Source organism: Homo sapiens, chromosome 1, assembly GCF_000001405.40.
Source record: "Homo sapiens chromosome 1, GRCh38.p14 Primary Assembly".
In the NCBI taxonomy this organism is placed as follows: Eukaryota; Metazoa; Chordata; class Mammalia; order Primates; family Hominidae; genus Homo; species Homo sapiens.
The window spans coordinates 109,656,037-109,684,028 of NC_000001.11; the positions used below are offsets into that span (position 1 = coordinate 109,656,037).

The 27,992-nt window shown below is 48.1% G+C and overlaps 2 protein-coding genes across 11 annotated transcripts, besides 3 other annotated features; both read left to right on the forward strand.

The window, feature by feature from the left end:
* Positions 1-62: 62 nt before the first annotated feature.
* On the forward strand, positions 63-11,691 carry GSTM4 (glutathione S-transferase mu 4). Of its 7 annotated transcripts, none has more exons than XR_007059238.1 (9): positions 63-389; positions 676-751; positions 1,179-1,243; positions 1,554-1,635; positions 1,736-1,836; positions 2,778-2,873; positions 2,964-3,074; positions 8,975-9,047; positions 10,080-11,691. XR_007059238.1 is itself a non-coding variant. In XM_017001085.2 (9 exons), the coding sequence occupies exons 1-9, from the start codon at positions 354-356 to the stop codon at positions 5,154-5,156; spliced, it is 765 nt and encodes a 254-aa protein (XP_016856574.1). In that variant the 5' UTR covers positions 63-353; the 3' UTR covers positions 5,157-5,664. The 7 variants fall into 7 exon arrangements, 5 of the variants coding, with proteins under 5 accessions (XP_016856574.1, NP_671489.1, NP_000841.1 ...); XM_017001085.2 differs by lacking the exons at positions 8,975-9,047; positions 10,080-11,691 and adding exons at positions 3,754-3,923; positions 5,129-5,664; NM_147148.3 differs by lacking the exon at positions 10,080-11,691 and having other exon boundaries at positions 8,975-9,461.
* Positions 704-1,289: an enhancer, noted in NCBI's record as "H3K4me1 hESC enhancer chr1:110199362-110199947 (GRCh37/hg19 assembly coordinates)". NCBI's record gives its function as "activates a minimal SCP1, AML or CMV promoter by ChIP-STARR-seq in primed H9 embryonic stem cells {active_cell/tissue: H9 hESC(primed)}" and the evidence as "EXISTENCE:reporter gene assay evidence [ECO:0000049][PMID:30033119]".
* Positions 12,021-27,961, forward strand: GSTM2 (glutathione S-transferase mu 2). 4 transcript variants are annotated; one of them, NM_001142368.2, is made up of 9 exons: positions 12,021-12,115; positions 12,389-12,464; positions 12,889-12,953; positions 13,254-13,335; positions 13,435-13,535; positions 15,251-15,346; positions 15,437-15,547; positions 25,773-25,798; positions 27,171-27,961. In NM_001142368.2, exons 1-8 carry the CDS (start codon positions 12,080-12,082, stop codon positions 25,779-25,781), a joined length of 576 nt encoding a protein of 191 aa, NP_001135840.1. In that variant the 5' UTR covers positions 12,021-12,079; the 3' UTR covers positions 25,782-25,798; positions 27,171-27,961. The 4 variants fall into 4 exon arrangements, 2 of the variants coding, with proteins under 2 accessions (NP_001135840.1, NP_000839.1); NM_000848.4 differs by lacking the exons at positions 25,773-25,798; positions 27,171-27,961 and adding an exon at positions 18,711-19,250; XR_007059237.1 differs by lacking the exons at positions 15,437-15,547; positions 25,773-25,798; positions 27,171-27,961 and adding an exon at positions 14,115-14,149 and having other exon boundaries at positions 13,435-14,027; positions 15,251-15,339.
* Positions 12,103-12,272: a silencer, noted in NCBI's record as "silent region_1157". NCBI's record gives its function as "represses an Ori minimal core promoter by ATAC-STARR-seq in GM12878 lymphoblastoid cells {active_cell/tissue: GM12878}" and the evidence as "EXISTENCE:reporter gene assay evidence [ECO:0000049][PMID:35858748]".
* Positions 13,788-13,887: an enhancer, noted in NCBI's record as "active region_1450". NCBI's record gives its function as "activates an Ori minimal core promoter by ATAC-STARR-seq in GM12878 lymphoblastoid cells {active_cell/tissue: GM12878}" and the evidence as "EXISTENCE:reporter gene assay evidence [ECO:0000049][PMID:35858748]".

Here is a 27,992-nt window from a genome sequence, read left to right on the forward strand (position 1 = left end):
CAGAGGTCCGAAGCGGAGCGGGGCGGGGCGGGGCTACGGAAGCTGGCGAGGCCGAGCCCCTCCTAGTGCTTCCGGACCTTGCTCCCTGAACACTCGGAGGTGGCGGTGGATCTTACTCCTTCCAGCCAGTGAGGATCCAGCAACCTGCTCCGTGCCTCCCGCGCCTGTTGGTTGGAAGTGACGACCTTGAAGATCGGCCGGTTGGAAGTGACGACCTTGAAGATCGGCGGGCGCAGCGGGGCCGAGGGGGCGGGTCTGGCGCTAGGTCCAGCCCCTGCGTGCCGGGAACCCCAGAGGAGGTCGCAGTTCAGCCCAGCTGAGGCCTGTCTGCAGAATCGACACCAACCAGCATCATGTCCATGACACTGGGGTACTGGGACATCCGCGGGGTGAGTGAGGGTCCGCTGCACTGTGGGACCGGGCGCGTGGGCGGGAAGTGCCGAGCGGCTGGGGACCGGCTCTAGGGACGGTTCCCTCCTTAGGGCTATCTCTCACAGGAGGGCCTGTGCATGCCTGTGTGTGTGTGTGTGTGTGTGTGTGTGTGTGTGTGTGTGCGTGCGCCGGGGTGGGGGGGGGGTGCAGTGCAGTGTAGACTAGGGGCTCACCTGGTGCAGAGAAAGTCACCAAGTCAGGGACCCTCCATCTCTGACACGACCTGCGGGCCATCTCTTCCAGCTGGCCCACGCCATCCGCCTGCTCCTGGAATACACAGACTCAAGCTACGAGGAAAAGAAGTATACGATGGGGGACGGTAATGACACCCTTGTGTCCGGGCTCTGCCCACTCACGCTGAGTTGGCACCAAGCAACCCATGGTGGCCACCTGTGGCTACCTCTGCAGGCCTCCCCTGCTGGAGCTGCAGGCTGTCCCTTCCCTGAGCCCCGGTGAGGGAGTCCTGTGGCCTTGCAAGGCAGAATGCTGGGGCGGGATGCTGGGCCCCCTGTTTAATTGGGTTGGGTGTCCCTCAGAGCTTCCCTAAACCCTGGAAGCCTTAGCCGTGTGGGGTCCAGAGCCCTCAGCGGGATTCTTTGTCCCTGAACCCTGGGATGTGGGACTGAGTGGTCAGATTCTAGATCCACCTGTCTCAGGGATCTTGCCACTGGTTCCTTGGGAGGGTCCCCGGGAAGGAGGGCTGGGCTCTGGGGAGGTTTGTTTTCACTTCTTCTTCCCCACGGCAGCTCCTGACTATGACAGAAGCCAGTGGCTGAATGAAAAATTCAAGCTGGGCCTGGACTTTCCCAATGTAGGTGCAGGGGAAGGGGCGGTTTTGGGGGAAAGTGCGACGTGTCTCTGACTGCATCTCCTCTCCCCAGATTAGAGGTGTTCGGATCAGGAGTCTTCTGCCCAATTCCTCTCACTCCTGGTTGTCTACACAGCCCCTGCATGATGTTCTGTGTCCCAGCTCATTTGTTCATGTGACAGTATTTCTATGTCAGGCCTGCCATGAGCGGGCACAGTGAGTGCCTGGTCTCCCCTCTGCCCTTGCATATGGGAAGGGGATGCTGGGGAGCCTGCTGGCCCAACTGAGCTTCCCCGGTTTCCCATCTATCCAGCTGCCCTACTTGATTGATGGGGCTCACAAGATCACCCAGAGCAACGCCATCCTGTGCTACATTGCCCGCAAGCACAACCTGTGTGAGTGTGGTTGGCTGCAGTGTGTGGGGGGAAGGTGGCATCCTCCTTGGCTGGATTGGGGTGCTATGCTCAGAGTGAGTCTGTGTTTTGTGGGTGGCAGGTGGGGAGACAGAAGAGGAGAAGATTCGTGTGGACATTTTGGAGAACCAGGCTATGGACGTCTCCAATCAGCTGGCCAGAGTCTGCTACAGCCCTGACTTTGTGAGTCCCTCCCTGGTCTGGACCAGAAGCCAGGCTTGTATTCCCATCTACTCTGGTCCTATTCACAATTTGAACTCCTCACTGCTATTGATCCTCTGAGGGTTCCCTGTACTGTAGCAGAGTGACTGTCATATCATTAAACTTATAAAATAAAAACTTGAAATCAGTCCCCACCAATCATAGGAAGTCCTATGAAAGCTAGCAATTCAGTTCCTAGACAATAAAGTCATGCGTTCAGAATTCCCTTCACCTCTGACCCCTGACCTCTGCCACGGGCCATCTAACCCAGCTGGTTCATGCCATCTGCCTGTTCGGGGAATACGCAGACTCACACTATGGGGTAAAGAAGTATGTAGTGGGATGTAATAGCACCCTCCTCTGTGGAATTCCGTGCTATTCTTTTCCTAGTGCTTCTCCTTGACACGCACAGGGATGAATGCATTTTCCTAACAGGCAGCTCAGGGGCGGCCAGAGGGCCTTTGTTCCTCTGTCTCCTTCCATGCAGCCTCTCAAAATCTCATCTCTCCAGAAACTACTCAATGTCCATTGTATTATTCTGCCACTGCACTAGGAGGAACTTTCAACTTCTTTCTCTGAGCTCCTTTAGTTCTTTGTATCCTTGATTTTGCTCATGTCTGGGTCCAGAGCCTGCCAGGTACTCAGGTGCTCCTGGGCTGACCCAGAGGAGGGTGGTTGGGAGGTCAGTGGGGACAGATTCAGGGATAGTGTTGCATTCCTCTCTGCCTTCCCATCACCACAAAAGCCTCCAGCTACCCATTTGGAGTGTAATAAATGCTGGTATGTCCAGCTGAAGCCAGTTCCAGCTGTGGGGAAGATGGCTGCTTGCTCGTGGCCAGCTGGGGCCATACACAGCCCTGGGGAGGCCACATCTGTGCAGGGAGCTTGTGTCTGAGGGTGGTGACAGCTGTTTTCTGCCTCAGGAGAAACTGAAGCCAGAATACTTGGAGGAACTTCCTACAATGATGCAGCACTTCTCACAGTTCCTGGGGAAGAGGCCATGGTTTGTTGGAGACAAGGTAATGGGGGCATGTGATGAGGACACTAGAGATTTGCCATACATCCTACGTTACAGAGATTCCAGCCCACACATTCTTGGCCTTCTGCAGATCACCTTTGTAGATTTCCTCGCCTATGATGTCCTTGACCTCCACCGTATATTTGAGCCCAACTGCTTGGACGCCTTTCCAAATCTGAAGGACTTCATCTCCCGCTTTGAGGTGATGCCCCCATCCTCCTTTCTCTTTGATGCCCCTTGTTCCGTTACCTCCTTTCAGATGCTTTCCCAGTCCTGGAGCTACATAAAGAATAACTTGCATTTATTGAGTGCTGGCTTCATGCCAGGAACCTTGCCCAGCACATTATACCTATCGTGTGGAATTTGAAATTTCCAACATTCCTACAGGGTGACAGAATTATCTTGCCCATTTAGAGATAAGAAAACTTTGAATGAGAGGGTCAGTCCTTTGTTCTGGGTCCCAGAGCCAGTGGAGGCTGTGCTGGGCTCCCTGTGAGCATCTGGATCTATGGGTGGCAGTCAGGGCTCTCCCTTTTGTGACAAAAGAAAGAAGCCTCAGGCCTCATCCAGCCTGGATTTCACAGCCCAGGGCACTTTGGAAGAGGCAGAGAACTTTAGGAGCATGGATGCAGCTGGCAATAGTAGGACTGACACACGGTGGCATTGACGTCGAGTACGAAACCCACAGGCAGTATTCATAGCTACTCCCAGAAGCTTTGCACGATCAGACCCCCACGTGGGGAATCCTGAGAGCCAGAGCTGTGGCCAGAGCTGGATTAGGGTACATATGTGGGTGCCCCTGTTGAAGGAGTGTATGTTGAAGTGCTCTGTGCTGGGGCACTCTCCTTCTTTATCTTTTTTCCTCTCTTTTTTCCCTCCAGTGTTCCAAGTGTTCCCCCTGTGAGATGAGTAGCACACTGATTTTACTGCTATTCACCGACCTTCTCCTCTGCATGAGGCAGGGTGTGAGGCACAGTGGGAGTTGCATAGATGACTGCCCCATCCTGGAAATGAGTGCAGTGAGAGGCCTGCAGGCAGAGCAGCCTGTGAGGTGTGTGGCACCACCTGGGTACCAGGCCTGGGGCCTGCCCCTCACTCATGGGGAACCATCCCTCACCCGTGCTGAATTTGTTTGAGAGCAGCAAATCCTACTTTTAGTACAGATGTGAGAATTTGAGGCATTAGTCCAACAAGTTTTTCAGCCTAGAATTTGTTTTCCTTTCCCACTACCCATCAAGGGATCTGGTTACTCAGCTAGTTCCCATCAGCTCTGGCTGTGGTCTCGGCTGAGTGGCCTTGGGGTTATGTAAGAGGTAGTGGGAGGGGAAGAGAGCTGAGGGCTGCAGCATATGGTCCACCTGGGCTTGGCCCTTTGGGAATAGGCAGCCCTGGCTCTCTCTGAATCCTTAGAAATTACACGGCTATTTGATCCTGGAAAGATCGTGCAGAGCACACCTGAGTGTCATACAGCCTGGTCTGAGGTAGTGGGGTTGGAGATGAGGTGGGTTGGGGCACAGTGGTGTTTAGCTCAGGTACCAGGTGGGGAGGTTTAGACTTTCTGCTTTAAAAGGAATGATTAGAGCCTGGTCTGGCGTTTCTTTTGCTGGTCCAACACACCTTGACCACTTTCATCCAGGTTTTGCCAGGTCCTTGGGTGAGATCTGGGCTCTCTTCCAGGCTGCACAGACATTTTCAGAGGTCCCCTCTGTGTGTGCAAACCTAGGCAAGCCAGGTGCCTCCCTGTGAAACAGGAGAATGTTGTGTAGTCAGAGAGTGACAGGACCTCCTGAGGGATTTGGGGGAGGATGGGGATTTGACAGAAAGAGGCCAGAACTGGAGAGAGACAGAACCAGTCTACGTTGCAGCTCTGTCCCCCTTAGTAGCTATTTGAGTGTGAGGAAGTTACTGAACTTCTGTTTCCCACATGAGAAATGGTGATAATAGATTCAGCCTTGCAGAGTAGTCGAGTGGGTTTTCTAAGCTTATGTTGTAATTTCTCTTGGGTACAGAGCACCCAGCACCGGGTAGAATCTTCATAAGTGTTAGCTGTTACTGTGGTACAACATTACTTAAAGGAAGTTGGAAGAGTTAACTCCGCAAATCTGGGGACCCTAAGAGGCTGTGTGATGCCTCAGCACTTGAGCCCACGTGGAAAGGCTGTGGCCAGGGCCCTGACCTGCTGTGTCTGCAGTGGGGTTGTCCCAGCCCTCATGGGCAGCTGACCTTGAGTTCTGGCCTTATTTTCCCCCCTCTCAGGGCTTGGAGAAGATCTCTGCCTACATGAAGTCCAGCCGCTTCCTCCCAAAACCTCTGTACACAAGGGTGGCTGTCTGGGGCAACAAGTAATGCCTTGAAGGCCAGGAGGTGGGAGTGAGGAGCCCATACTCAGCCTGCTGCCCAGGCTGTGCAGCGCAGCTGGACTCTGCATCCCAGCACCTGCCTCCTCGTTCCTTTCTCCTGTTTATTCCCATCTTTACCCCCAAGACTTTATTGGGCCTCTTCACTTCCCCTAAACCCCTGTCCCATGCAGGCCCTTTGAAGCCTCAGCTACCCACTTTCCTTCATGAACATCCCCCTCCCAACACTACCCTTCCCTGCACTAAAGCCAGCCTGACCTTCCTTCCTGTTAGTGGTTGTATCTGCTTTGAAGGGCCTACCTGGCCCCTCGCCTGTGGAGCTCAGCCCTGAGCTGTCCCCGTGTTGCATGACAGCATTGACTGGTTTACAGGCCCTGCTCCTGCAGCATGGCCCCTGCCTTAGGCCTACCTGATCAAAATAAAGCCTCAGCCACATTTGCTATAGTCTTGTCTTATTTGCTCCTGGCTGCCCAGACTGTGTCTGTCACTGCCTCTTCTGAGGGACTGGCTGGTGACCCTGGCAGTAGCTGGGTTCATAGAGATTATGATGGGCTTAGTAAGGTGTTTCCAACTTTGTTTTTTTTTTGAAATAAGGTCTCCTGCTTCCCAAGGTGAAGGGCAGTGGCGGCATCGTAGCTTACTGCAACATCCAGTCCTGGGCTCAAGAATCCTCCCACTTCAGCCTCCCAAATAGCTGAGACTATAGGTGTGCCACCACACCTGGCCACATTAAAAAAATTTTTGTAGAGATGTGTCTCTTTATGTTGCCCAGGCTGGTCTGGAACTCCTGAGCTCAAGCGATCCTCTTACCTTGGCATCCCAAATTGCTGGGATTGCAGGTGTGAGCCACCATGCCTGGCCCTGTTTCCAACTTCTTGATCTCTTTTCTGACTGCCTTAGAGCAGGAAGCCACATAAAGTGCTCTATAGAAAGGATGCCTCTTTCTGGGCCTAGATCTTCATTTATTTTTATGTATTCAGTATTATTCAGTGCTTTCCATGGTTAGGCAGAGCTAGGTCTCAGTGAGTACGTCTTAGATGCCCAGAGGTGGTGGAATTCCCATCACAGAGAACCAGGATCCTTCTGTCTTCCACACTGACTGACTCCATCACAGCTTAGATCTCTAGGACGCAAGCTCTACTGTGAGCTGCTTCACCAGAAGGTTCTCCCACTCAGCAGTTCCCAAGCTGTGTTATCACAAATAGTTGTTGATTTTGTGGGTTAGGAATTCAGGTGATGCCCAGCAGGGAGAACTTATTACAAATCAACAAAGGTCTTTTCTCCAAAAACTATATATCCAGAAATACGGCCCATTAAAAAATGAGTCAAAACTTGAACAGGCATTTCCGAAAAATGAATATCCAAATTGCCAACAAGCTCATGAGAAGGTGCTCAACATTATTAGAAAGCAGAAAGTTAAAAACCCATAAGATCCTACTGTATCCCCACTAGAATGGCTGACATTGAAAGGACTGACAATTGCTGGTGATTTATGCAGTAACTGGAACTGTCATGCATTGCTGGTGGGAAAGCCACTTTGGAATACTGGCAGTGTCAACTAGAGCTAAACATACATCTACCCAGGACCCAGAAATCCCACCCTATAGGAATGAGTCTTAATGGATTCCAAGAGCCAGGTATAATGATGCCAAAAGCAGCTTTATTTTAAATAGCCAATAACTGAAAACAATCCAAATTCCATGAATAGAAGAATGAACAAATAAACTGTGGTTTATCAACATAATTCCATCATTCATATAATGGTATATTTACTCTGCTATAATGAAAATAAACATGCTAACACTATGTGCAAAAACATGGATGGGTCTCACAGAAGTGTTGAGTAAAAGGATCCAGACAGGAGAAAGGACACACGATCTCATTCCACTTACACGAAATTCAGGAGAGGGAAATGAGTCCATGGTATCAGAGGTCAGATGATTGGTGACCTTGGTGAGAACTGGAAGGTTGCCTATTGAAGGCTCCTGGTGCAGTGCTGTAAGTTTTCTCTCTTTATCTGGGAGGTGATTCCAGAAGAGTATCCAAGTGGAAAAGCCCACAGAGTAGCACACTTAAGGCCTATGCACTGTATGTATTACACTTCAATGAAAAGCATGCTTGGCCAGGTGCGGTGGCTCACGTCTATAATCCCAGCACTTTGGGAGGCCGAGGCGTGTGGATCATGAGGTTGGGGGTTTGAGACCAGCCTGACCAACATGGTGAAACCCCGTCTCTACTAAAAATACAAAAATCAGCCAGGCGTGGTGGCAGCGCCTGTAATCCCAGCTACTCAGGAGGCTGAGGCAGGAGAATTGCTTGAACCCAGGAGGCAGAGGTTGCAGTGAGCTGAGATCACGCCACTGCACACTCCAGCCTGGGCGACAGAGCAAGACTCCGTCTCAAAAAGAAAAAAAAAAAGCATGCATTAAGGCCTGTGCACTGTATGTGTATTACACTTCAATGAAAAGCATGCTCATATGTCTTACATTATTTGTGTGCTTGTGTTGGTTTGCTTTCCCTCATAAGATGTCAACGTCCTCAGGACATGTGTTTTTGTCTCTTCTTGTTCGCTGATGTAACAGGTGTTTGCATATCACCTAGGACAGTCCCTGAGCATAGCAGGTGCTCACTGAATAGTTATTAGGCAAATTATAGGCTCTATCTTAATGGTGTCATTTCAAATTCCCTTTAGATTTTTATTTATGCCTACTTCTTTGGATAGGTGAGATTGATGGGCACATACACTCTTAGGTTCTGCAGTTTTTTCTCTTTAACATTTTACCTAAGAATCTGTACATGTTGGCAGTCTATATGCATGCCTATTTCTAGCATTTAATGGCTATCATTACTTCCTGTGGATAAATTATAGTTTGCTTAGTCATTCTTACCCTATTGGGCATGTGGATTTTTCTCATTTATTTATTTTTAGAACAGAGTGATCATGTTTAAACTAATTCCTTCTCTGGTTTTTGGGTACTTTATTTGAGTTGGTCCCCAAAGGCAATTACTACAAGGCAAAAGGTGAGAATGGTGTTATGGTATTATCATAGATAAATTGCTCTCTAGAGAGAATAGCTTTTTTTTTTTTTTTTTTTTTTTTTTTTTTTTTTTTGATGTGGAGTCTTACTCTGTCACCCAGGCTGGAGTGCAGTGGCGCGATCTCAGCTCACTGCAACCTCCGCCTCCTGAGTTCCAGCAATTTTCTTGCCTCTGCCTCCTGAGTAGCTGGAATTACGGGCGTGTGCCACCACCCTCGGCTAATTTTTGTATTTTTAGTAGAGATGGGGTTTCACCATATTGGCCAGGCTGGTCTCGAACTCCTGACCTCACGTGATTTGCCTGCCTCAGCCTCCCAAAGTGCTAGGATTACAGGCTTGAGCCATCGCGCCCAGCCCAGAGAGAATAACTTAATTCATGGTGACACCTGCAAGTCACATGGATCTTTCTGCACTACCTTAGGTACTTGAGGGATTGCAGTTTCATCTTATAATATTTTTATAGGTTTATAGAATACCTTCAAGTTTTCTACCTTCACCTTTTTTGTTTATAGTGTGTGCATGTTTCTGCCAATGAATCACAGTCTATGAATCTACCCGTCCTTGAATCTCCTGTATAAAACTCTCTGTTTACCCATTCTCTACCTGTGGCTTAGTCAACTCCTGGAGAAAGGTTAAAGAATGATCTTGTGGCAGTCAAGACCTTCTCTCTAATAGGCACAATGTAATTAATTATGATTCTGTTCTAGGTTTCCTGTGGCATAATGTGATGGTCAATTTTCTGCATCAACTTGACTGGGCTAAGGGATGCTCAGATGGCAGGTAAAATCATTGTGCTTGTGAGGGTGTTTCCAGAAGAGATTTGCCTTTGAATCAGAAGACAGCAAAGATTTCCTTCAGCAATGAAGGAGGCATCCACCAAACTGTCAGGGCCCAGAGAGAAGAAAAAGACAGGAAGGGTGAATTTGACCTCTCTGACTGGGACATCCATCTCTGCCTATCCTGGGACCTCCACACTCCTGGTTCTCTGGCCTTCAGACTTGATCAGGGACTAACACCATCGCCTCCCACCCCCACCTTTGTTCTGAGGCCTTTAGCCTCTGAATGATACCACTGGCTTTCCTGCTTCTCTATCCTGCAGTCGGCAGATCATGGGACTTCTTCACTCCAAAATTGTGTGAGCCAATTCCCATAACAGATAGATAAATTTATAAATAAACACACAAATTTCCTACAGCCTTATCTTAGTGGTGTCACTTCAAATTTTGAAGAACCCTGACCTAGTACACATAGCAAAAAACAACAACGACAACAACAACAAACAAAAACACACACACACACAAAAACTCATCATCAATAAGTTTTAAAAAATCAAACACAAGATAAAACGCTGCAGCATATCTATTACCTGGGGGCTTTTCTATATGGAAAGCACTTTCTGAGATGCCTTGCAGTAAACTCCAAGGAGATTTTGAGGGAAGATATTCTCTTTTCTCCTGGTAAATCTCCCTGTTGATGATCATTATTTTAAAGACTCCAAAGATGAAAACATCTGCTTGCACATTTTGTCGATTCATTTTGGGTGAGGGTCTCTGGCAGGCTTGGAAGGGTGGGTGAACAGTGGAAGGGGGCTGCCTCTGGTGACTAGCATCACTCATATCCATGTCTGTGGCAGTCATCAGGTGCTTATTATATATTCGACTTTTGGCCACCCCTAATGGGGGTGTTAAATGCAGGAAGAGTCCAGTCAAGTCATTGCAAATTGGCATTGACTTTTGGGACCTTTCTACACACGATAGTCAGGTAGATACCTTCTTTTTAAATTTGACTTGTTATTACTTTTTTTTGAGACAGGGTCTCATTCTGTCACCCAGGCTGGAGTGCAGTGGTGTGATCACGGCTCATTGCAGCCTCGACTTCTCAGGCTCCAATGATCCTCCCACCTCAGCCTCTCAAGTAGCTGGGACCACAGGTAAAGGGCCACCATGGCCAGCTAATTTTCGTATATTTGGTAGACAATGTTTCACCATGCTTCCCAGGCTGGGTGGATACTTTTCAAAAATAAGTTCAGTTCATCCTGCCTAGCCTTGCCCCAGCAGCTCTAGAGGAATTACCCACTCTGGTGCTGGGCTCAGGCTGCCTGTCTCTGGAATAATGTGCTCAGAGCTGCAGGGTAGGCCTGCTGTCTGACTGGCAGAGAGAGTCCCATACTCCCTACCCTGTACCCTGAAAGATCAAGGCTGCCCAGCCTGTCCACCTGGTAGACCATTTCCCTGCCCAATTCTCCTTCTCTCATTCCTGATGTGCAGCTTGATGCCTGCAGGGACTGTGCCAGCTGAGATTGTCTCTAGGTCCTCCCTTCTGCCAGCTGGTGTCCAGGGAAGTGGGTCCTTTGGCCTGCTTCCTGCCACCAGAATTTTGAGGACCTTGTTTCTCCCACTGCAACTTTTGACCCATTCCTGGGTTTCTTTTTCTTTTTTTTGAGACGGAGTCTTACTCTGTCGCTCAGGCTGGAGTGCAGTGGTGCAACCTCAGCTCACTACAACCTCCACCTCCCTGGTTCAAGCGATTCTCCTGCCTCAGCTTCCTGAGTAGCTGGGATTACAGGCACCCGCCACCAGGCCTGGCTAATTTTTTTGCATTTTTAGTACAGTCGGGATTTCACCACGTTGGCTGGGTTTTAGACTAGGGTTTCTTCACCTCAGCAGTACTGTCATTTTGGAGGGCAAAATCATTTGTTGTGGGGCACTGTCCTGAGCATTGCAGGGTGTTCAGCATCCTACGCAAACTCTACCCACTAGATGCCATGGGCGCTTCCCAGTGGTGACAATTAACAAAGTCTCCAGACAGACCTACATGTCCCCTGAGGGGCAAAGTTACCTCCACTTGAAGACCAGTGGTGTGCTGGATGGATACTAATATTAAAATAATAATAATAATAATAATAGAAATCATAATATAACTCATGTAGTTAAGGTAAGTCCTTTTTGATGGAACATTTATTTCAGTTAATAATATTTGTGTATGTCTGTCCTGGTAGTTTTTTTTTTTTAACTTTTTATTTTGATTTAACATGAGAGTTTGAGAAATTTACAAAACGAATGAATACAAAGACCTCTGATTACCCCAGATTCTAACGTTTCCACATGGGCTTTCTCCTCCCTCCCCAAGTCCACCAGCCCCTGCTCCCCACCTTTCTGTCTCTCTTCCCACCCAGCAAGCTCCCTAGGAGCACAGCACCACTTATGACAAAAACATCATTTTCTTTTCTCTGAGGCGGTATTCCTGACGTTTGGATTTAGGCTGATAAGTGACAGTGAGTTATAATCATCCTTGCCTGTGTTGTCCTTCCCACGTTAGGTCTGTCATGCCACGTATGTCCGCAGTTTATAACAATCTCTATCATACATTGAAAAGTTTTGAAAACTTATCCAGTGAATCCCTGAGCACCAAATGTTCTTTTGTGTTATTTTTCTTTATTAGGCTATTATTACTTTATTCAGAATCTCTCTGTTTTAGAGAGAGCCTTTCTTTCTTGCCTAACCTAGAGTGCAGCGGCGCGATCATAGCTCAGTTCAGTCTTGAACCCCTGGACTCAACCAGTTCTCCCCCGCCCTGGGCTTCTGGGCGTCCTGATCTCTCTCCTGAAACCCACGGGGCTGGGAGGTGGGAGGAGATCCTACTCCTAGCCCCATGAGCGCGCTCCAGGCCTCCAGATTGGCCCGTTTCGGGGGCAGGGCGGGCCGTGGGGCGGGGTCGCAGCAAGGCTTCCCCTCTACCCTCTCTGGGCCTCTCACAAACGCTGAGCCCCGCCCCGCTGAGGCCTGTCTGCAGAATCCACAGCAACCAGCACCATGCCCATGACACTGGGGTACTGGAACATCCGCGGGGTGAGCCAGGGTCCGCTGGGCGGTGGGACGGGGGTGCGTGGGGGCGGGGAAGTGTGGAGCAGCTGCAGGACGGGCTCTAGGGACGGTTCCTCTTCAGGGCTGTCCCTGACAGCGGGGTCTGTGCTTGCCGCTGTCTGTGCGTGTGGCTGGGCGTGCGGGGTGGGGGCGGGTGAGGCAGGAACGAGAGGAGGAGATGGGGCTCCCCTTGTGCAGAGTCGTCACAAAGTCAGGGACCCTCCATCTCTGACCCGAGCTGTGGGCCATCTCTCCCAGCTGGCCCATTCCATCCGCCTGCTCCTGGAATACACAGACTCAAGCTACGAGGAAAAGAAGTACACGATGGGGGACGGTAATGGCACCCTCGAGTCTGGGCCCTGCCCCCTCACACTAAGTTGGCACCAAGCAACCGATAGTGGCCACCTGTGGCTGACTCTGCAGGCCTCCCTTGCTGGAACTGCAGGCTGTCCCTTCCCTGAGCCCTGGTGAGGGAGCTCCTTGCAAGGCAGAATGCTGGGGCGGGATGCTGGGCCCCCGTCTGGGTAATTATGATGGGTGTCCCTCAGGGCTTGCCTAAACCCTGGAAGCCTTAGCTGTGTGGGGTCCAGAGCCCTCACTGGAATTCTTTTTCTCTGAATCCTGGGATGTGGGACTGAGTGGTCAGATTCTAGATCCACCTGTCTCAGGGGTCTTGCCACTGGCTCCTTGGGAGGGTCCCCAGGAAGGAGGGCTGGGCTTTGGGGAGGTTTGTTTTCACTTCATCTTCCCCACCACAGCTCCTGATTATGACAGAAGCCAGTGGCTGAATGAAAAATTCAAGCTGGGCCTGGACTTTCCCAATGTAGGTGCAGGGGAAGGGGCGGTTTTGGGGGAAAGTGCGACGTGTCTCTGACTGCATCTCCTCTCCCCAGCTTAGAGGTGTTAAGATCAGGAGTCTTCTGCCCAATTCCTCTCACTCTTGGCTGTCTACACAGCCCTTGCATGATGTTCTGTGTCCCAGCTCATTTATTAGTGTGACAGTATTTCTATCTCAGGCCTGCCATGAGCAGGCCCTGGTCTCCTCTTTGCCCTTGCATATGGGAAGGGGATGCTGGGGAGCCTGGTGGCCCAACTGAGCTTCCCCGGTTTCCCATCTATCCAGCTGCCCTACTTGATTGATGGGACTCACAAGATCACCCAGAGCAACGCCATCCTGCGGTACATTGCCCGCAAGCACAACCTGTGTGAGTAGATTTGGTTGCAAGATGCGGGGAGGGACCGTGGCCTCCTCCTCGGCTTGGCTGGGCTGTGAGGCTGAGAGTGAATCTGCTTTACGAGGGTAGGCGGGGAATCAGAAAAGGAGCAGATTCGCGAAGACATTTTGGAGAACCAGTTTATGGACAGCCGTATGCAGCTGGCCAAACTCTGCTATGACCCAGATTTTGTAAGTCCCCCCACCCCACTCCCAGTCTCCCCTTCCCTACTCCCAGTCTCCCCTTTCCCTGCAGAGTTTGTGTCCAAAATTGATTCCTTCTGGTGAGTTCTTGGTCTTGCTGACTCTAAGAATGAAGCCGCGGTCCTACACGGTGAGTGTTACAGTTCTTAAAGATGGTGTGTCCGGAGTTTGTTCCTTCAGATGTTCAGATGTGTCCGCAGTTTCTTCCTTCCGGTGGGTTTGTGGTCTTGCTGACTTCAGGGGTGAAGCCGCAGACCTTCGCAGTGAGTGCTACAGCTCTTAAAGGTGGCGCGTCTGGAGTTGTTTATTCCTCTTGGTGGGTTCATGGTCTGGCTGGCTTCAGGAGTGAAGCTGCAGACCTTCATAGTGAATGTTATAGCTCATAAAGGTAGTTCAAACCCAAAGAGTGAGCAACAGCAGGATTTATGGTGACGAGTGAAAGAAAATACACTTCCACAGCCTGGAAGACAACCTGAGCAGGTTGCTACTGCTGCTTGGGAAGGGCGGAGGTGGGGGGGGAAATCCCTTATTTGGCCCCACCCACATGCAGATTGGTCCATTTTACAGAGAGCTGATTGGTCCATTTTACAGAGTGCTGATTGGTCCGTTTTACAGAGTGCTGATTGGTCTGTTTTTACAGAGTGCTGATTGGTGCGTTTACAAACCTTTAGCTAGACACAGAGCGCTGATTTGTGCATTTACAATCCTTTGGCTAGGCAGAAAAGTTCTCCAAGTCCTCACCTGACCCAGAAGCCCAGCCAGCTTCACCTCTCATTTTGATCAGGAGCCAAGACTGTGGTCCTGCCAAATACACGGGTCCTGTTTTCTGTTTGAACTCTTTAGTGCTACTCATCCTTCAAGCTATTTCCTATACTGCCACCAGAGTGACCCTCAAACCCCAAAGTCGTGTCAAATAAAACCTCTAAATCAATTCCCCACCAATCTACTTATAGAATCCTGACTCCCCAGGGTATGAATTCACTCTCTAGACAGTAATGGTTACTTCCAGAATCCCTTCCATCTCTGACCCATGACCTGTGCTTTGGGCCATCTCTCCCAGTGGTTTATATCATCTGCCTGCTTTAGGAATACACAAACTATGAGGAAAACAAGTGCAAAACAAAGGAGTAATGGCACCTGAAATTTTGGTGTCTTCCGAGTGCTCTCTTGACATACACTGAGATCAGCGAATTTTCCTAACAGACAGCTTAGGGGCAGCCAGAGGCTCTTTTTCCCCCTCCTTTCTTCCACTTATCCTCTGAATATCTCCTCATCTTTCCAGAAACCACTCAATGTCCATTGTATTCTACTGCTGCCCAACTAGGAGGAAATTTCTACTTCTTTCTCTGAGCTCCTTTAGTTCTTTGCATCCTTGATTCTGCTCATATCTGGTCCAGAGCCTACCAGGTGCTCAGGTGCTCCTGGGGCTGACCCAGAGGTTGTTGGGAGGTCAGTGGGGACAGATTTAGGGACAGTGTCACATTCCGCTCTGCCATCCCATCACCTCAGAAAGACTCCAGCTACCCAGTTGGAGTCTAATAAATGCTGATGTATCCAGCTGAAGCCTGGACAGTGACCCAGTTCCAGCTGTGGGGAAGATGACTGCTTGCCCGCGGCCAGCTGGGGCCATGCACAAAACTGGGAGGCCGCATCTGTGCAGGGAGCTTGTGTCTGAGGGTGTTGACAGCTGTTTTCTGCCTCAGGAGAAACTGAAACCAGAATACCTGCAGGCACTCCCTGAAATGCTGAAGCTCTACTCACAGTTTCTGGGGAAGCAGCCATGGTTTCTTGGGGACAAGGTAATGGGGGCGTGTGATGGGGACACCACAGATTTGTCATACTTCCTATATTATGGAGGTTTCAGCCCACATATCCTTGGCCTTATCCAGATCACCTTTGTGGATTTCATCGCTTATGATGTCCTTGAGAGAAACCAAGTATTTGAGCCCAGCTGCCTGGATGCCTTCCCAAACCTGAAGGACTTCATCTCCCGATTTGAGGTGATGCCCCCAGCCTCCTTTCTCTTTATGTCTCTTATTCCTTTCCCTCCTTTGTGATGCTTTCCCAGTCCTGGAGCTACACAAAGAATAACTCACATTTTTGGCCATGTGCGGTGGCTCACGCCTGTAATCTCAGCGCTTTGGAGGCTGAGGGAGGCAGATCACCTGTGGTTAGGAGTTTGATACCTGCCTGCCCAACATGGCAAAACCCCATCTTTACTAAAAAAAAATACAAAAATTAGCTGGGCGTGGTGGCGAGCACCTGTAATCCCAGCTACTTGGGAGGCTGAGGCAGGAGAATCACTTGAACCTGGGAGGTGGAAGTTGCAGTGAGCCAAGATCGTGCCACTGCATTCCAGCCTGTATGACAGAGTGTGACTCCATCTCAAGAAAAAAAAAAAAAAAAAAAAAAGGAGCCGGGCATGGTGGCTCACACTTGTAATCCCAGCATTTTGGGAGGCCGAGTTGGGTGGATCACCTGAGGTCGGGAGTTCGAGACCAGCCTGACCAACATGGTGAGACCCCTGTCTCTACTAAAAATACAAAATTAGCTGGGCGTGGTGGCACATGCCTATAATCCCAGCTACTAGGGAGGCTGAGGCAGGAGAATCTCTTGAACCTGGGAGGCGGAGGTTGCGGTGAGCCAAGATCGTGCCATTGCACCCCAGCCTGGGCAACAAGAGTGAAACTCCATCTCAAACAAAAAAAAGAAGAAAAGAATAACTTGCATTTATTGAGTGCTGGCTTCATGCCACGAACTGTACCCAGCACATTATACCTATTGTGTTGAATTTGAAATTTACAACATTCCTACAGGGTGGTAGAATTATCTCCCCCATTTTAGAGACAAAGAAACTGAGAATGAGAGGGTCAGTCCTTTGCTCAGGGTCCCAGAGCCAGTGGAGGCTGTGCTGGGCTCCCTGCGAGCCTCTGGATCTATGGTTGGCAGTCAGGGCTCTCCGTTTTGTGACAAAAGAAAAGCCTCAGGCCTTGTCCAGCCTGGGTTTCATAGCCCAGGACACTTTGGAAGAGGCAGAGCACTTCAGGACCACGGATGCAGCTGGCAATAGTAGGACTGACACACAGTAGCATTGATGTTCAATACTGAACCCACAGGCAGTATTCACAGCTACACCCAGAAACTTTGTATGATTGAACCCCCATGTGGGGAATCCTGAGAGCCAGGGCTGTGGCTGGAGCTGGATTAAGGTACATATGTGGGTGCCCCTGTTGAAGGAGCTTATGCTGAAATGCCCTGTGCTGGAGCACTTTCCTTCTCTACCTCTTTTTTTTTTTTTTTTTTTGAGACGGAGTCTTGCTCTGTCACCCAGGCCGGAGTGCAGTGGAGCAATCTCGGCTCACTGCAACCTCTGTCTCCTGGGTTCAAGTGATTCTCCTGCCTCAGCCTCTTGAGTAGCTGGGATTACAGGTGTGTACCACCACGTCCAGCTAATTTTTGTATTTTTAGTAGAGATGGGGTTTTGCTATGTTGGCCAGGCTGGTCTCAAACTCCTGACCTCAGGTGATCCACCCACCTCAGCCTCCCTAAGTGCTGGGATTACAAGCGTGAGCCACCGCGCCTGGCCTCTTCCTCTCTTTTTTTCCCTCCAATGTTCCAGGTGTTCCCCCTGTGAGATGAGTAGCACGCTGATTTTACTCCTGTTCACTGACCTTCTCCTCTGCATGAGGCAGGGTGTGAGGCACAGTGGGAGATGCATAGATGACAGCCCCATCCTGGAAATGAGTGCAGTGAGAGGCCTGCAGGCAGAGCAGCCTGTGAAGTGTGTGCTGAACTTGTTTGAGAGCAGCAAATCCTACATTACTACAGATTTGGGGATTTGAGGCATTTGTCCAACAGGCTTCTGAGCCTTGAATCTGTTTCCCTTTTCCACTCCCCATCAAGAGATCTGCTTGCTCAGCTAGTTCCCATCAGCTCTGGTTCTGCGGTTCTGGTCCAGGCTGAGTGGCCTTGGAGTTAGGTAAGAGGTGGTGGGAAGGGAGGGATGGAGGAGAGCTGAGAGCTATGGCCCGTTATGTGCCAGGGTCAAGCCTGTCACCCAGGCTGGAGTGCATTGGTGCGATCTTGGCTCACTGCAACCTCCGCTTCCTGGGTTCAAGCAATTCTCTGCCTCAGCCTACCAAGTAGCTGGGATTACAGGTGCCCGCCACCATGACCAGCTAATTTTTGTATTTTTAGTAGAGATGGGTTTTCACCATGTTGGCCAGGCTGGTCTCCAACTCTTGACCTCAGGTGATCCACTCGTCTCGGCCTTCCAAAGTGCTGGGATTACAGGTGTGAGCCGGATGTTTTTGAATACCTTATCTGGGCATTCAATCCTGGTAAGATTGTGCACAGCACATCTGAGTGTCATGTAGCCTGATCTGCAGCAGGGCTGGAGATGCCATGGGTTAGGGCACAGTGAGATTTTGCTAAGATACCAGATGGAGAACCTTGGACTTTCTGCTTTAAGGGGAATGATTAGAGCCTAGTCTCGCCTTTGATTTTCTTGTGCACTGCCACTCCCCATTCCACTTTCATCCAGGTTTTACTGAGACATTGGGTGAGTGTGTTCAGAGCCCCTTTGTTCTGCTGGAGGTCCCTTCTGTGTCTCTATACCCAGACAAGCCAAGAGCCTCCCTGTGGAAAAGGAGACTGTTTGTGCAGTCAAGGAGTGACAGGGCCTGGTGTGAGGGGTGGTGGGGCAGAAGAAGAAGAGAATTTGGCAGAAAGAGGCCAGAACTGGAGAGAGACAGAACCAGGCTACATTGAAGTTCTATTCCCCTTACTAGGTATTTAAATGTAAGGAAGTTGCTGAACTTCTGTTTCCCACATGACAAATGGTGATAATAGATTCAGCCTTGCAGAGTAGTCGAGTGGGTTTTCTAAGCTTACGTTGTAATTTCTCTTGGGTACAGAGCACCCAGCACCGTGTAGAATCTTCATAAGTGTTAGCTGTTACTGTGGTACAACATTACTTAAAGGAAGTTGGAAGAGTTAACTCCGCAGATCTGGGGACCCTAAGAAGCTGTGTGATGCCTCAGCACTTGAGCCCACATGGAAAGGCTGTGGCCAGGGCCCTGACCTGCTGTGTCTGCAGTGGGGTTGTGCCAGCCCTCATGGGCAGCTGACCTTGAGTTCTGGCCTTATTTTCCCCCCTCTCAGGGCTTGGAGAAGATCTCTGCCTACATGAAGTCCAGCCGCTTCCTCCCAAGACCTGTGTTCACAAAGATGGCTGTCTGGGGCAACAAGTAGGGCCTTGAAGGCCAGGAGGTGGGAGTGAGGAGCCCATACTCAGCCTGCTGCCCAGGCTGTGCAGCGCAGCTGGACTCTGCATCCCAGCACCTGCCTCCTCGTTCCTTTCTCCTGTTTATTCCCATCTTTACTCCCAAGACTTCATTGTCCCTCTTCACTCCCCCTAAACCCCTGTCCCATGCAGGCCCTTTGAAGCCTCAGCTACCCACTATCCTTCGTGAACATCCCCTCCCATCATTACCCTTCCCTGCACTAAAGCCAGCCTGACCTTCCTTCCTGTTAGTGGTTGTGTCTGCTTTAAAGGGCCTGCCTGGCCCCTCGCCTGTGGAGCTCAGCCCCGAGCTGTCCCCGTGTTGCATGAAGGAGCAGCATTGACTGGTTTACAGGCCCTGCTCCTGCAGCATGGTCCCTGCCTTAGGCCTACCTGATGGAAGTAAAGCCTCAACCACATTTGCTGTGTGTCTTGTCTTATTTGCTCCTGGCCATCTACCCAGACTGTCTGTCTGTCTGTCACTGCCTCTTCCAAGGGACTGGCTGGTGATCCTGGCAGTGGCTGGGTTCTAAAGGATTCTGCTGGGCATAGTAAGGCGCTTGAGAATTCTTGCTCCCATTCCTGAGAGACTCAGAGCAGGAAGCCCCATGAGGCACTGTGGAAAGGATGTCTCTTTCTTGGCCTGGATCTCCCATTCATTCATCCAGCCGTATTGAGTACTTTCCATAATTGCACAGAGCTTGTGTCTCATTGAATAGGACCCCAAGGGGGTGGAATCTCCATCAGAGAGAACCAGGGTCCCTTTTACCTTCTCCACTATATGACTGCATCACTTCTGTTAGGTCTCCAGGACCCAATCTCTATTGTTTTTCTCAGATGGCTTCCAGGTACCCTCTCCAGGCTTGCTGCACAGCTGTCATCAGGACGTTCTCTCTGGGTTTACTTCCTCTCTTTCCTGGGTACCTGTGAGAGAAATGTCTTTAGTCCTTGCATAACTGAAAGTGCCTTTACATGCTTACTGAATACTCTGGCTGAGGATTTAGTCTGTTCTCACGCTGCTAATAGAGACATACCCGAGACTGGGTAATTGATAAAGGAAAGAGGTTTAAAGGACTCACAGTTCCACAGGGCCTGGGAGGCCTCATAACCATGGCAGAAGGCGAATGAGGACCAAAGTAATGTCTTACATGGCAGCAGGCAAGAGGGCGTGTGCAGGGGAACTCCCACTTATAAAACCATCAGATCTTGTGAGACTTATTCACTACCGTGAGAACAGTATGGGGGAAACTGCCCCCATGATGGAGTTTTCTGCACCCGGCCCCCACCCTTGACACCTGGGGATTATTACAATTCAAGGTAAGATGTGGGTGGGGACACAGCCAAACCATATCAGCTGGGGATAGAATTCTATGATGAAAACCTTCAGACTTCTAATAGATTTATTCACTTTTTTCTAGAATTGAGCATTTCTGGTGAGTAGGTCGATGCCAGTCTGACTGCATCCTTTGCTTTTTAAAAATTATTATTATTGTTGTTATTTTGAGAGGAAGTATTACTCTGTCGCCTAGGCTGGAGTGTGGTGGTGTGATCTCGTCTCACTGCAACCTCCCCTTCCTGGGTTCAAACAATTCTCCTTCCTCAGCCTCCCGAGTAGCTGGGACTACAGGCGTGCACACTGTGCCCAGCCGATTTTTGTATTTTTGTTTTAGAGACGGGTTTTCACCATGTTGGCCATGCTGGTCTCGAACTCCTGACCTCGTGATCCACCCACCTCGGCTTCCCAAAGTTCTGGAATTACATGCGTGAGCCACTCTGCCTGGCTATATCTTTTGCTTTTTTACGCTTTTTCTGTTTGTCATTCTGAGGTCTATAATTCCAAAGGCTGTGTGGGGATCTACAGGTTGATCTCTTCTTGATTCACATCCTTGCAGGAACATGCTAAGCATAGGCTTCCTCCACCCTGACAGCAATCTGCATTGCCTCTTGTTGAAGTAACTTAAAATCTCACTGGAGAGTGAACTGCTTCAGAGGAAGATTCTCATAGCTTAGCAGTTCCTAAGCTGTGATACCAGAAATAGCTGTTGAGTCTGTGGGTCATGTATTCACGCAAGGCTCAGCAGGGAGATCTTGTTACAAATCAACAAAGGTCTCTTCTCCAAAAACTATATATCCGAAAATACAACTCATTAAAAAATGAGTCAGAATTTCAACAAGCATTTCCCAAAAGTGAATATCCACATGGCCACTAAGCTCATGAGAAGGTGCTCAACATCATTAGACAGCAGAAAGTTAAAAACCCCTAAGATCCTACTGTATCCCCACTAGAATGGCTGACATTGAAAGGACCGACAATTGTTGGTGATTTATGGAGTAACTGGAACTGTCATGCATTGCTGGTGGGAAAGCCACTTTGGAATACTGGCACTGTCAACTAGAGCTAAACCTACATCTACCCAGGACCCAGAAATCCCACCCTACAGGAATGAGTCCTAATGGATTCCAAGAACCAGGTGTAGTGATGCCAAAAGCAGCTTTATTTTAAATAGCCAATAACTGAAAACAATCCAAATTCCATGAACAAATGAACTGTGGTTTATCAACATAATTCCATCATTCATATAATGGAATACTTACTCTGGTATAATGAAAATAAACATGCTAACGCTATGTGCAAAAACATGGATGGGCCTCACAGACGTATTGAGTAAAAGGATCCAGACAGGAGAAAGGACACACAATCTCATTCCACTTACACGAAAATCAGGAGAGGGAAATGATTCCATGGTATCAGAGGTCAGATGATTGGTGAACTTTGTGAGAACTGGAAGGTTGCCTATTGAAGGGGCCTGGTGGAGTGCTGTAAGTTTTCTCTCTTTATCTGGGAGGTGATTCCAGAAGAGTACACAAGTGGAAAAGCCCACAGAGTAGCACACTTAAGGCCTGTCCACTGTATGTATCTTACACTTCAATGAAAAGCATGCATTAAGGCCTGTGCACTGCATGTGTATTACACTTCAGTTAAAAGCATGCACATTATTTGTGTGCTTGTGTTTGCTTTCCCTCATAAGATATCAACATCATAAGGGCATGTGTTTTTCTCTCTTCTTGTTCACTGATGTAACAGGTGTTTGCATATCGCCTAGGACAGTCCCTGAGCATAGTAGGTGCTCACTGAACAATTATTAAGCAAATTATACGTTCATCTTAATGGTGTCATTTCAAATTCTCTTTAGATTTTTATTCATGCCTACTTCTTCAGATAGGTGAGACTGGTGTGCGTGTTTACTCTTAGATTCTACAGTTTTTTCTCTTTAACATTTTACTTCTTTTTTTTGAGACAGAGGCTCACTCTGTTGCCCAGACTGGAGCACAGTGGTGCAATCTCAGCTCACTGCAACCTCTGCCTCCTGGGTTCAAGCGATTCTCTTGCCTCAGCCTCCTGAGTAGCTGGGACTACAGGCATACACCTGGCTAATTTTTGTATTTTTAGTAGAGATGAGGTTTTGCCATGATGGCCAGGCTGGTCTCAAACTCCGGGCCTCAAGTTATCCACCCACCTCTACCCCTCAAAGTGCTGGGATTACAGGTGTGAGCCACCACTCCTGGCCTAACATTTTACTTAAAAATCTGTATATGGGCTGGGCGCAGTGGCTCATGAGTGTGATCCCGGCACTTTGGGAGGCCGAGGGGGCAGATCACGAGGTCAGGAGATCGAGACCATCCTGGCTTGTACACGGTGAGACCACATCTCTACTAAAAATATCAAAATTATTTTTTTTTGTATTTTTGGGCGTGGTGGAGCTTGCCTGTAGTCCCAGCTACTCAAGAGGCTGAGGCAGGACAATTGCTTGAACTCAGGAGGCAGAGGCTGCAGTGAGCCAAGATCATGCCACTCCTCTCCAGCCTGGGCAACAGAACAAGACTCCCTCTCAAAAAAAAAAAAAAAACAAACTGTATATGTTGGCAGTCTATATGCATGCCTACTTCTAATATTGATGGCTATCTCATATTAGTTCCTGTGGATAAACTATATTTTGCCTAGTCATTCTTATGCTATGGCATGTGTAGATTTTTCTAACTTATTTATTTGTTTTTAGAGCAGGGTGATCATGTTTTGACTAATTCTTTCCCGTTTTTGGTGACTTTGAGTAGATCCCCAAAGCGCTTACTACAAGGTAAAGGATGAGACTGGTTTAATGGTATTACAACAGATAATTTCATTGCTCTCCAGAGACAATAACTTAATTTATGGTGCCACCAGCAAGGTACACGGATCATTCTGCACTATTTTAGACACTTAGGAGATCGCGATTTCATCTTATGATTTTTTTTTTTTAATAAGAACACCTTCACATTTTCTGGCTGGGCATGGTGGCTCATGCCTGTATTCCCAGCACTTTGGGAGGCCGAGGCGGGTGGATCACTTGAGGTCAGGAGTTTGAGACCAGCCTAGCCAATATGGTGAAACCCTGTCTCTACTAAAAATACAAAAATTAGCCGGGCATGGTGGTGGGCACCTGTAATCCCAGCTATTCAGGAGGCTGAGGCACAAGAATCACTTCAACCTGGGAGGCAGAGGTTGCAGTGAGCCAAGATCGTGCCATTGCACACTGCACTCCAGCTTGGGTGACAGAGTGAGATTCCATCTCAAAAAAAGAAAAAAAGAATACCTTCAAGTTTTCTACCTTCACCTTTTTTGTTTATTGGTTGTGCATGTTTCTGCCAATGAATCACAGTCTATGAATCTACTTGTTTGTGAATCTCCTGTATAAAACTCTCTACCCATTCTCTACTGGTGGCTTAGTCAACTCCTGGAGAAAGCTTAAAGAATGATCTTGTGGCAGTCAAGGCTTTTTCTCCCATAGGCACAATGTAATTAATTGTGATTTTGTTCTTGGTTTCCTGTGGCATAATGTGATGGTTAGTTAGTTTTCTGTGTCAACTTGACTGGGCTAAGGGATGCTCAGATGGCTGGTAAAATTATTGTGTTTGTGAGGGTGTTTCCAGAAGTGATTCGCCTTTGAATCAGAAGACTGAGCCAAGATTTCTCTCAGCAAATGAAGGAGGCATCCACCAAACTGTCAGGGCCCAGAGAGGAGAAAAAGACAGAGGAAGGGTGCATTTGATATCTCTGACTGGGACATCCATCTCCGCCTATCCTGGGACCTCCACACTCCTGGTTCTCTGGCCTTCAGACTTGATCAGGGACTAACACCATCGCCTCCCACCCCCACCTTTGTTCTGAGGCCTTTAGACTCACACTGAATGATACCGCTGGCTTTCCTGCTTCTCTGTCCTGCAGCCAGCTGATTGTGGGACTTCACTCCAAAATTGTGTGAGCCAATTCCCATAAGAGATAAATAAATTTGTAAATAAACACACAAATTTCCTACAGGCTTATCTTAGTGGTGTCACTTCAAATTTTGAAGAACCTTGACTAGTACACATAGCAAAAAAAAAAAAAAAAATACACAAGTGGGTCACCATCATCAATAAGTAAGTTTTATAAAATCAAACACAAGATAAAACGCTGCAGCATATCTATTACCTGGGTTTCTTTCTATATGGAAAGCACTGTCTGAGATGCCTCACAGTAAACTCCAAGGAGATTTTGAGGGAAGATATTATCTTTCCTGGTAAATCTCCGTGTTGATGATCATTGTTTTAAAGTCTCCAGAGATGAAAACATCTGCTTGCACATTTTGCTAATTCATTTTGGGTGAGGGTCTCTGGCAGGCTTGGAAGGGTGGGTGAGCAGTGGGAAGGGGGCTGCGTCTGGTGACTAGCATCACTCATATCCATGTCTGTGGCAGTCATCAGGTGCTTATTATATATTTGACTTTTGGCCACCCCTCTGGGGGTGTTAAATGCAGGGAGGGTCTAGTCAAGCCATTACAAGTTGGCAGTGACTCGTAGCAACTTTCTACACACCCTTCTCAGTCAGGGTGGATACCTTTTGAAAATAAGTTCAGTTCATCCTGCCTAGCTTTGCCCCAGCAGCTCTAGAAGAATTACCCGATGGTGCTGGGCTCAGGCTGCCTGGCTCTGGAGCAATGTGCTGAGAGCTGCAGGGGAGGCCTGCTGTCTGACTGGCAGAGAGAGTCCCACCACTCCCTACCCTGTACCCTGGAAGACCAGGCTGCCCAGCCTGTCCACCTAGTAGACCGTTTGCCTGCCCAATTCTCCTTCTCTGATTCCTGATGTGCAGCTTGATGCCTGCATGGGCTGCACCAGCTGAGATTGTCTCTAGGTCCTCCCTTCTGCCAGCTGGTGTCCAGGGAAGTGGGTCCTCTGGCCTGCTTCCTGCCAGCCAGAATTTCGAGGACCTTGTTTCTCCCACTGCAGCTTTCGACCCTGTCCTGGATCACAGACTAGGGTTTCTTAAGGTCGGCCGTACAGAGATTTGGAGGGCAGAATTCTTTGTTGTGGGGCGCTGTCCTGAGCATCGCAGGGTGCTCAGCATCCTACCCATCCTCTACCCACTAATACCACGGGCGCTTCCTGGTGTTTACAATTAACAAAGTCTCCAGACAGACCTACATGTCCCCTGAGGGGCAAAATCACCTTCACTTGAATCACATCCAGTGGTGTGCTGGATGGATACTAGCATTAAAAATATTAATAATAATAAAAAGATTCATAATGTAGCTCATGTAGTTAATTCCTTTTTGATGGAACATTTATTTAAGTTAATAATATAAGTATCATTAATACCTAATAATATGAGTATATGTATATGTAATTTTCTTGTTTACCTTTTTATATTGATCTAGCGTCAGAGTTTGAGAAATTGTAGAAAGATTAGAAACGACTCTGATTACCCTAGATACTAATGTTTCCACATGGGCTTTCTGCCCCCCAGAGTACCCTCTGCCCCTCCTTCTCCTGCCCCCGCCTTTCTGTCTCTGTCTCCCCCAGCAAGCTCCGAATGAGCACAACACCATTATAAGAAAAACACTATTTTCTTTTCTCTGAGGTAGCATTCCTGATGTTTGGATTCAGGCTGGTAAGTGACAGTGATTTATAATCATCCTTGCCTGTGTTGTCCTTCCCATGTTAGGTCATGTCTGTAGTTTATGACAATCTGTGTCATCCATGCCATTTTCAAAATTTTTGAAAACATATCCAGCCTAATGCTGAGGATAAAATGCCCTTTTGTGTTGTTATTTTTCTTTATCACGCTTTTTGTACTTCATTCAGAATCTTTATCTCTTAACATGTTTTGGCCTGTTTGTGTTTCTTCCACTTGGTGGTAACATCAATTAACATAGAGTTTAGAAAAATGTTTCCCCAATTTAAAAAATCACTTGTACTACATCTTCTTTCTTAGTTCTGATTTGTATTAACTTATAATTATATTTTTTGTTTTTGTTGTACTAATGCTGTGTTAATTACCTAAGTTTTTTTTGTTTTGTTTTGTTTTTGTTTTTGAGACGGAGTCTCGCTCTTTCGCCCAGGCTGGAGTCCAGTGGCACTATCTCGGCTCACTGCAAGCTCCACCTCCCTGGTTCATGCCATTCTCCGGCCTCAGCCTCCCAAGTAGCTGGGACTACAGGTGTCTGCCACCACGCCCAGCTAATTTTTTGTATTGTCAGTGGAGACAGGGTTTCACCATGTTAGCCAGGATGGTCTTGATCTCCTGACCTCGTGATCCGCCCGCCTTGGCCTCCCAAAGTGTGGGGATTACAGGCGTGTAGTTACCTAACTTTTAACAGAATAAACTATTACATATAACAAGCAAATTGGTTAAAGTTTCAATATTTCTCTTAAGGTCACTTATTGCTTCCACTTCTTTTTCCATCTCTAACTTTGTGCCTGTTCTACTTTCTTGAAATTCTAGTTTGTTTGCCTTATTCTTGGTATCACAGGCATGTTGGAAAAATGTTTTCTCAATTCAAATTTGGTAGCATCTTCAAATGGTGATTTCTATTTTCTTCTTTTCAGATTGAAGAAAAGATTCTTTATATTTCAGATTTCCTAAGTTTACCCAAACAATATTTAAGAGACTTTAATACATTTCCATGAATTAGGATACATTTTATTTTGTCTGTCAGTATTTGTTTCTAATAGATTAGTTTTTAAAATTCTGACAACATGTTAGGTAGATTTTCTGTTAATTTGCCTTGAGAATGTAAGAATGTTGTCAGAAGAGACAGAAGGAATTATGAATTCCAGTCCAGAGGTCCCATTACAGGCCCTTGGTAAAGTGGGACCCAGTGCATTTTGACTGTCTGGCACAGCATTGTTTTAAAAATTAGAACTTTTCCACATTTTGCAGTTCAGACAGCACATACAAATGCAGAAGTCCAGGCCCTGTCGGGACTGAGTTTCTGTGTGGTGACAACTGGCTACAACCCCTTCCTTCTGAACACTTGCAGCTTCCCTCATCCCTGCTGCTCCTGATCCCCGTCCACAGACCCACTTTCCCCGCTGGTGTGATCCTTGTGGCCACTATGGCAGCTACTTTGGAGAGCCGCTAGTCCAGTCCTTCCCGCCTTCCGCAGAGCTCTACTCCTGCTTCTGAAGAAGCCACCTGGGGCCTGGCCTTCTTCCTGGCTCCTCAGAGTCCTTGCAACAGCAGGCACTACTTCTCTCTCCTGCACTCAACCCCTCTCCCACTCCACTGCCTCTCAGTGTGCCAAAACACGAAGATGTGTCCTGATTTTCAAAATCTCTCCCCTGAAGTTCCCACCTGATATGTAGTTGGAGATGGGCAAATACAGCGTCCTTGAAGCATCATTTTATTCATAGTGCCTGGAATGTAGTAGGATCTCGACAATTGTTGTTTCAATAAAGGAATGACCAAATATATTAATACTGTAAAAAGTAAAGTAGAGGTTCCTCTTCAAAGAGACTTTTCTCCCCATCTAATTAAGAATAAGTCGTAACTTCTCTTAGAAGCAAAATTTATTCAAAGACCGGTGCTGATATTCTGAAATATCTGCTAGCTGTAATAAAGAAATTAATGTACTTTATGTTCTTAACTCCCACAATTTAGCCTAAATACTTGCCCTGGCATGCTTATACTGATCCAAACAAGCATGAGGTCATAGCCTGTTCCTCTTCCTTATTTGAAGGTGTTTTTACCTTACTCAGCATTCCACAAGTGAGTTCCCCCTTCCTTTGTTCTCCTCTGCCTCTGCCTCTTTTAAAAAGTTCTAAGTTGCTAGCCAATCAGGACAAATACAGAATGTGAGGTC